The 9,596-nt window shown below is 37.9% G+C and overlaps 2 annotated features.

Annotated features, from left to right (window-relative positions):
• Positions 2,341-2,870: an enhancer, noted in NCBI's record as "OCT4-NANOG hESC enhancer chrY:13705724-13706253 (GRCh37/hg19 assembly coordinates)". NCBI's record gives its function as "activates a minimal SCP1, AML or CMV promoter by ChIP-STARR-seq in primed H9 embryonic stem cells {active_cell/tissue: H9 hESC(primed)}" and the evidence as "EXISTENCE:reporter gene assay evidence [ECO:0000049][PMID:30033119]".
• Positions 2,871-3,401: an enhancer, noted in NCBI's record as "OCT4-NANOG hESC enhancer chrY:13705193-13705723 (GRCh37/hg19 assembly coordinates)". NCBI's record gives its function as "activates a minimal SCP1, AML or CMV promoter by ChIP-STARR-seq in primed H9 embryonic stem cells {active_cell/tissue: H9 hESC(primed)}" and the evidence as "EXISTENCE:reporter gene assay evidence [ECO:0000049][PMID:30033119]".

Raw genomic sequence — 9,596 nt, 5'->3', positions numbered from 1 at the left:
ATTCCATTCGATTCCATTGTATTGAATAAATTCCATTTGAGACCTTTCCTTTCGATTCCATTCTATTTGAGTATATTCCTTTCGAGTGCATTACATTTGGGTCCATTCCATTCCATTCAATTCCATTCCATTTAGTATCTTACCATTACACGCCATTCCATCCTATTCTTTTCAATTCCATTGAATTCGTTTCCATTCCATTTGTCTCTTCTCCATTCGAGTCCATTCCATTCCATTGCATTCCATTCCGTTCGATTCCAATCTGTTCAAATCCATTTTGATCCATTCCATTCCATTGGAGTCCATTACATTCCTGTCCATTCCTTCGTCTCCATTCCATTAAATTCCATTCCATTCCATTATATTCAATATCATCCCTTTACACTCCATTCCTTTCTATTATTTTTGATTCCATTCACTTGCAATCCATTTGATTACATTCCATTCTATTCCTTTACATTCCTCTCTACTCCAGTCGAGTTCATTCCATTCCATTCCATTCTGTTCGACTCCAATCCATTTGATTCAATTTGGTTGGACTCCATTCCTTTCGAGTCCATTCCTTTTGAGTCCACTCCATTCCATTCCATTCCTTTTGAGGACACTCTATTCGACTCCATTTCATGAAACTCCATTCCATTCCATTCTGTCCAATCGGATTCCATAACGTTCTATTCCTTTCCGTTCCATTCCGTTCCATTCTTTTCATTCCATTCGATTCCATTCCATTCCAGTCCATTCCATTAGAGAACATTCCATTCCAATCCATTTCTTTCCACTCCATTCCTTTTCGTTCAATTCCTTTCCAATCCATTTCATTCCAATCGATATCTTTCCATTACTCTCAATTCCATTCTCTTCCTTTCTATTCCATTCAATTGCATTCCATTTGAATCCATGCAATTCGATGCGTTTGCATTTGACTCCATTCCATTCGTGTCCATTCCATACCATTCCTGTCCATTTGATTCCTTTTTGTTCCAGTCCATTCCTTTCGAGTCAATTCCTTTCGAGTCAATTCCATTCAAGTCCATTCAATTCGATTTTGTTCCCATTGATTCCATTCCACTCGATTCCATTCCAATCGATTCCACTCTGCTCCTTTCCAATGCATTCCATGCTACTCCATTATATTGAATTCCGTTCCATTCCATTTGATTCCATTCCATTCGATTCCATTCCATTCGATTCCATTCAATGGTATTGTATTCCATTTGATTCCATTCTATTCAAATAAATTCCGCTCGAGGCCATTCCTTTCGACACTATTATATTTCAGTCGATTCCATTGGAGTCCATTACATTTGAGTCCATTCCATTCCATTCGGTTCCGTTCCATTCCGTTCCATTCCATTTCATTTGATGCCATTCGATTCCAATATCTTCCATTGCTTTCCATTCCATTCAAGTCCCTTTCATTCAATACCATTACCATCGATTCTATTTTATTTGAATCCATTCTATTCCAATCCATTCCATTCCATTCCATTTGATTCCCTTCCTTTCAATTCCATTTCATTCCATTCCATTTCATTCCATTCCATTCGTTTCCATTCCATTTGTGTACATTCCTCTCCAGTCCGTTTTGATCGAGTCCATTCCATTCCAGTGCATTCCATTCGAGTTCATTCCATTCCCTTCCTTTCGATATCATTCAATTACACTCTATTCCTTTCTATTCCTTTTGATTCCATTCAGTTTCATTCCATTGGATTCCATTCCTTTCAGGTCCATTACATTCGAATACATTCCATTCGAGTCCATTCCACTCCATTCCATTCCATTCCTTTCTGTTCCGTTCGATTCTATTCCAGTAGATTCCTTTGCTTTCCATTCCATTCCATTACATTCCTTTCCATTCCATTTGAGTCCATTCCATTCCAGTCCATTCCATTCGAGTCCATTCCATTCGATTGCATTCCATTCCATTTGAATAAATTACATAGCAATATATTACGTTCCTGTCCATTCACTTCCAGTTCATTCCATTCCTGTCCATTCCATTCAATTCCATTCCATTCGATTCGATTCAATAGTATTGCATTCCATTCGATTCCATTCTATTGGAATAAATTCGATTCGACAACTTTCGTTAACAGTCCTATATATTCGAATCCTTTCCATTCCATTCCATTCCATTTATTCCATTTCATTCGATTCCTTTCCATTGCATTGCCTTCCATTCCATTTGTTTACATTCTATCCGATTCCATTACATTTGAATCAATTATATTGCAATTTATTGCATTTGAGTCCGTTCAATTGCACTCCATTCCGTTCCATTCCATTCCATTCTATTCCATTCTATTCGATACCATTCCATACTATTGCATTCCATTCAATATCATTCTATTCGAATAAATTACATTCGAGACCATTTCTTTCCACTTCATTCTATTTGAGTCCCTTTTATTTGAGTCTATTACTTTTGGGCCCATCCCATTCCAATCCATTTCATTCCATTCCATTCCATTCCATACCATGCCATGCCATTCCATTCCACGCCATACCATTCCATTCCATTCCATTCCATTCCATTCCATTCCATTCCATTCCATTCTATGCCATTTCATTTCATTCTATTCAATTCGTGTCCATTCCATTCGATTGCATTCCATTCCATTCAATTCCACTCCATTCAACTCTGCTCCAGTCGAATCCATTCCATTCCATTTCGTTCCATTGGATTACATTCCATTCTATTCCTTTCCAATCCATTCGAGACCATTCCACTCCAATCCATTCCATTCGAGTCCATTCTAATGCGCTCCATTTCATTCGAGTCCTTTCATTCCAGTCCATTCCATTCGTGTCCACTCAATTCCATTCCATTATTTTAATATCTTTCCATTAATCTCCATTCCATTCTATTCATTTCTATTCCATTCAATTCCATTTCATTGGATTCCATTCCTTTCGATTCCGTTACATGTCACTCCATTCCATTCCAGTCCATTCCATTCGCGTACATTCCATTCAATTCCATTCGATATCATTCGATGAAACTTTATTTCTTTCTACTGTTTTTGACTCCATTCAATTACATTCCAATTCGTTCCATTCCATTCGATTCCATTCCATTCCATTCCATTCCATTCCATTCCATTCCATTCCATTCCTTTCCATTCGAATCCAATACACTCAATTCCAATTTATTCCAATGCATTCCATTCGAGTCCATTATATTTACTTCCATTCCATTCTATTCTATTCCATTTGAGTACATTCCATTCGAGTCCATTCCATTCCTTTCTATTCCATTCCATTACATGCCATTTCATCCATTCGATGCCGTTCCATTCTATTCTATTCCATTCCTTTCTGTTCCATCTGATTCCATTCCATTCCATTCCATTCAATACGATTCCTATCTATTCTATTCCTTTAGTTTCCATACAATTCAATTCCGTTCCATCCGATTCCATTCCATTCTATTCCTTTCCTTTCAATTCCCTTCCTTTCCTTTCCATTGTTTTCCATTCCATTCGATTCCATTCAACTCTAGTACATTCCATTCGAGTCCATTCCATTCCATTATATTCCTTTCGCGTCCATTCAATTCTTTTCCATTCGATATTTTACCTTTTAACTCCATTGCATTCCATTTCGTTCAATGCCATTCCATTATATTATATTCCTTTCATTTCGTTTCCATTGGAGTCCGCTCCATTCCTTGCCATTGGATGCCATTCCATTATATTGAATTCCATTCTATTTCTTTCCTTTTGACTACATTCCACTGAAATCCATTGCACTCCATTATACACCGTCCCATTGCATTCCATTCCATTCCATTCCATGGCATTCCTTCCATTACATTTCATTACATTCCATCCGATTCCATTCCATTCCAGTCTATTCCATTCCATTGCGTTACTTTCTATGCCATTCCATGCATTCAATTCCGTTCTACTTGATTACATTCCATTCGATTTCAGTCCTTTCGAATCTAATACATTGTCATCCATTACAATCGAGGCTGTTCTATGTGAGTCCATTCCACTCGGGTCCATTCCATTCGATTCCATTCCATTTGATTCCATGCCACACTGTTGCATTCCATTGAATTCCACTCTATTCGAATAAATTCCATTCAATACCATTCCTTTCTCTTCCATTCTATTTGTGTCCATTCCATTCGAGTTCATTACGTTTAGTTCCATTCCATTCTATTCTAATCCATTTGAGTACATTCCATTCTAGTCCATTCCATTCCGTTCCATTCCATTCCATTCCATTTCATTCCATTCCATTCCATTTCATTCCATTCCATTCCATTCCATTCGATATCATTCTACACGATTATTTTCCATTCGACTCCATTACATTGCATTCCATTGTATCCGATTCCATTCCATTCTTTACCTTTCCGTTCCTTTCTATTCCCTTCCATTCGTATCCATTACTTTCCATTCCATATCTTTCCATTCGGTGACATTCCAATCCATTCTTTTCCTTTCGCCTCCATTCCATTCCATAGTATTTATTCTACTCCATTCCTTTCCATTGCATTCCATTCGTTTCCATTCCATTCGTTTTCATTGCACGCCAGTCTATTCCATTCTATTCCATTCCATTCCTGTCCATTCCATTCGATTTCTTTTCTATCCATTCCATTCAATATCTTTCCTTTGCACTCCATTTTGTTCTATTACTTTCAATTCCATTCAATTCCTTTCCTTTCTGTTCCATTGCATTCGACTCCATTCCATTGGAGCTATTCCATTGCATTCCATTCCATTCCATTCCATTACATTCTGTTCCATTCCAATCTGGTGGAATCCATTTTATCCCTTTCACTCCATTCGAGTACAATCCATTCCAGTCCATTCTATTCGAGTCCATTCCTTTCGAGTCCATTCCACTCCAGTCAATTACATTCGACTCCATTTCACTCCAGTCCATTCCATTCGTTTCTGTTGAATTCCATTCCATTCCATTAGGGTCCATTCCATTCCTTTCCAATCCGTTCGATATCTTTCCATTCCATTCCATTCCATTCCATTCCATTCCATTCCATTCTATTCCTTTCCATTCCATTTCATTCCATTCCATTGCAGGCCGTTCTACTCCGATCCAATGAAGACCATTCCATTCCATTCCGTTCCATTCGATTCCAATCAGTTCGATTCCGTTTTGTCCCTCGTCCATTTCTTTTGATTCCATTCCATTCGAATTCTTTCCATTCGATTCCATTACACTCGATTTCACTCCGTACCTTTCCTTTCCTTTGCATTCCATTTTATTCCATTGTATTGAACTCAAATCCCTTCAATTTTATTACATTCCATTCGATTCCATTCCATTTGAATCAATTACATTACAATCCATTAAATTCAAGTCTGTTCTCTTCCAGTCCATTCCATTCCCGTCCATTCCATTTGATTCCATTCCGATCGATTCCATTCCACTTCATTCAACTCCATTCCACTCCGTTGCATTCCATGCTATTCCATTCCAGTACAATCCTATCCATTCCATTGGATTCCATTCCATTCAATTCCATTCCATTTGAATGAATTAGAATTCAATCCATTACACTGCAGTCCGTTCTATGGCAGTCCATTCCATTCTGGTCCATTCTATTTGATTCCATTACATTCGATTCCATTCCATTCTATTGCATTCCATTCGATTCCATTGTATTGAATAAATTCCATTTGAGACCTTTCCTTTCGATTCCATTCTACTTGAGTATATTCCTTTCGAGTGCATTTCATTTGGGTCCATTCCATTCCATTCAATTCCATTCCATTTAGTATCTTACCATTACACGCCATTCCATCCTATTCTTTACAATTCCATTGAATTCGTTTCCATTCCATTTATCTCTTCTCCATTCGAGTCCATTCCATTCCATTGCATTCCATTCCGTTCGATTCCAATCTGTTCAAATCCATTTTGATCCATTCCATTCCATTGGAGTCCATTACATTCCTGTCCATTCCTTCGACTCCATTCCATTAAATTCCATTCCATTCCATTATAGTCAATATCATCCCGTTACACTCCATTCCTTTCGATTATTTTTGATTCCATTCACTTGCAATCCATTTGATTACATTCCATTCTATTCCTTTACATTCCTCTCTACTCCAGTCGAGTTCATTCCATTCCATTCCATTCTGTTCGACTCCAATCCATTTGATTCAATTTGGTTGGACTCCATTCCTTTCGAGTCCATTCCTTTTGAGTCCACTCCATTCCATTCCATTCCTTTTGATGCCACTCTATTCGACTCCATTTCATGAAACTCCATTCCATTCCATTCTGTCCAATCGGATTCCATAACATTCTATTCCTTTCCGTACCATTCCGGTCCATTCTTTTCATTCCATTCGATTCCATTCCACTCCAGTCCATTCCATTGGAGACCATTCCATTCCAATCCATTTCTTTCCACTCCATTCCTTTCCATTCAATTCCTTTCCATTCCATTTCATTCCATTCGATATCTTTCCATTACTCTCAATTCCATTCTCTTCCTTTCTATTCCATTCAATTGCATTCCATTTGAATACATTCTATTCGATGCGTTTGCATTTGACTCCATTCCATTCGTGTCCATTCCATCCCATTCCTGTCCATTTGATTCCTTTTTGTTCTAGTCCATTCCTTTCGAGTCAATTCCTTTTGAGTCAATTCCATTCAAGTCCATTCATTTCGATTTTGTTCCCATTGATTCCATTCCACTCGATTCCATTCCACTCGATTCCACTCTGCTCCTTTCCAATGCATTCCATTCTACTCCATTATATTGAATTCCGTTCCATTCCATTTGATTACATTCCATTCGATTCCATTCCATACGATTCAATTCAATGGTATTGTGTTGCATTTGATTCCATTCTATTCAAATAAATTCCGCTCGAGGCCATTCCTTTCGACACTATTATATTTCAGTCGATTCCATTGGAGTCCATTACATTTGAGTCCATTCCATTCCATTCGGTTCCGTTCCATTCCGTTCCATTCCATTTCATTCGATGCCATTCGATTCCAATATCTTCCATTGCTTTCCATTCCATTCAAATCCCTTTCATTCAATACCATTCCCATCGATTCTATTTTATTTGAATCCATTCTATTGCAATCCATTCCATTCCATTCCATTCCATTTGATTTCGTTCCTTTCAATTCCATTTCATTGAATTCCATTTCATTCCATTCCATTCGTTTCCATTCCATTTGTGTACATTCCTCTCCAGTCCGTTCTGATCGAGTCCATTCCATTCCAGTGCATTCCATTCGAGTTCATTCTATTCCCTTCCATTCGATATCATTCAATTACACTCTATTCCTTTCTATTCCTTTTGATTCCATTCAATTCCATTCCATTGGATTCCATTCCTTTCAGGTCCACTACATTCGAATACATTCCATTTGAGTCCATTCCACTCCATTCCATTCCATTCCTTTCTGTTCCGTTCGATTCTATTCCAGTAGATTCCTTTGCTTTCCATTCCATTCCATTCCATTCCATTCCATTCCATTTGAGTCCATTCCACTCCAGTCCATTCCAATAGAGTCCATTCCATTCGATTGCATTCCATTCCATTTGAATAAATTACATTGAAATATAATACGTTCTTGTCCATTCACTTCCAGTTCATTCCATTCCATTCCATTCCATTCAATTCCATTCCATTCGATATCATTCTACACGATTATTTTCCATTCGACTCCATTACATTGCATTCCATTCTATCCGATTCCATTCCATTCTTTACCTTTCCATTCCTTTCTATTCCATTACATTCGTATCCATTCCTTTCCATTGCATGTCTTTCCATTCGGTGACATTCCAATCCATTCTTTTCCTTTCGCCTCCATTCCATTCCATAGTATTTATTCTACTCCATTCCTTTCCATTGCATTCCATTCGTTTCCATTCCATTCGTTTTCATTGCACGCCAGTCTATTCCATTCTATTCCATTCCATTCCTGTCCATTCCATTCGATTTCTTTTCGATCCATTCCATTCAATATCTTTCCTTTGCACTCCATTTTGTTCTATTACTTTCAATTCCATTCAATTCCTTTCCTTTCTGTTCCATTGCATTCGACTCCATTCCATTGGAGCTATTCCATTGCATTCCATTCCATTCCATTCCATTACATTCTGTTCCATTCCAATCTGGTGGAATCCATTTTATTCCTTTCAACTCCATTCGAGTACAATCCATTCCAGTCCATTCTATTCGAGTCCATTCCTTTCGAGTCCATTCCACTCCAGTCAATTACATTCGACTCCATTTCACTCCAGTCCATTCCATTCGTTTCTGTTGAATTCCATTCCATTCCATTAGGGTCCATTCCATTCCTTTCCAATCCGTTCGATATCTTTCCATTCCATTCCATTCCATTCCATTCCATTCCATTCTATTCCTTTCCATTCCATTTCATTCCATTCCATTCCAGGCCGTTCTACTCCGATCCAATGGAGACCATTCCATTCCCTTCCGTTCCATTCGATTCCAATCAGTTCGATTCCGTTTTGTCCCTCGTCCATTTCTTTTGATTCCATTCCATTCGAATTCTTTCCATTCGATTCCATTACACTCGATTTCACTCCGTACCTTTCCTTTCCTTTGCATTCCATTTTATTCCATTGTATTGAACTCAAATCCCTTCAATTTTATTACATTCCATTCGATTCCATTCCATTTGAATCAATTACATTACAATCCATTAAATTCAAGTCTGTTCTCTTCCAGTCCATTCCATTCCCGTCCATTCCATTTGATTCCATTCCGATCGATTCCATTCCACTTCATTCAACTCCATTCCACTCCGTTGCATTCCATGCTATTCCATTCCAGTACAATCCTATCCATTCCATTGGATTCCATTCCATTCAATTCCATTCCATTTGAATGAATTAGAATTCAATCCATTACACTGCAGTCCGTTCTATGGCAGTCCATTCCATTCTGGTCCATTCTATTTGATTCCATTACATTCGATTCCATTCCATTCTATTGCATTCCATTCGATTCCATTGTATTGAATAAATTCCATTTGAGACCTTTCCTTTCGATTCCATTCTACTTGAGTATATTCCTTTCGAGTGCATTTCATTTGGGTCCATTCCATTCCATTCAATTCCATTCCATTTAGTATCTTACCATTACACGCCATTCCATCCTATTCTTTACAATTCCATTGAATTCGTTTCCATTCCATTTATCTCTTCTCCATTCGAGTCCATTCCATTCCATTGCATTCCATTCCGTTCGATTCCAATCTGTTCAAATCCATTTTGATCCATTCCATTCCATTGGAGTCCATTACATTCCTGTCCATTCCTTCGACTCCATTCCATTAAATTCCATTCCATTCCATTATAGTCAACATCATCCCGTTACACTCCATTCCTTTCGATTATTTTTGATTCCATTCACTTGCAATCCATTTGATTACATTCCATTCTATTCCTTTACATTCCTCTCTACTCCAGTCGAGTTCATTCCATTCCATTCCATTCTGTTCGACTCCAATCCATTTGATTCAATTTAGTTCGACTCCATTCCTTTCGAGTCCATTCCTTTTGAGTCCACTCCATTCCATTCCATTCCTTTTGATGCCACTCTATT

The sequence above is a fragment of the Homo sapiens genome, chromosome Y (assembly GCF_000001405.40).
Source record: "Homo sapiens chromosome Y, GRCh38.p14 Primary Assembly".
Taxonomy (NCBI): Eukaryota; Metazoa; Chordata; class Mammalia; order Primates; family Hominidae; genus Homo; species Homo sapiens.
The sequence above is the reverse complement of the archived record's forward strand: the minus strand, read 5'-3'. Positions and strand labels throughout refer to the sequence as shown.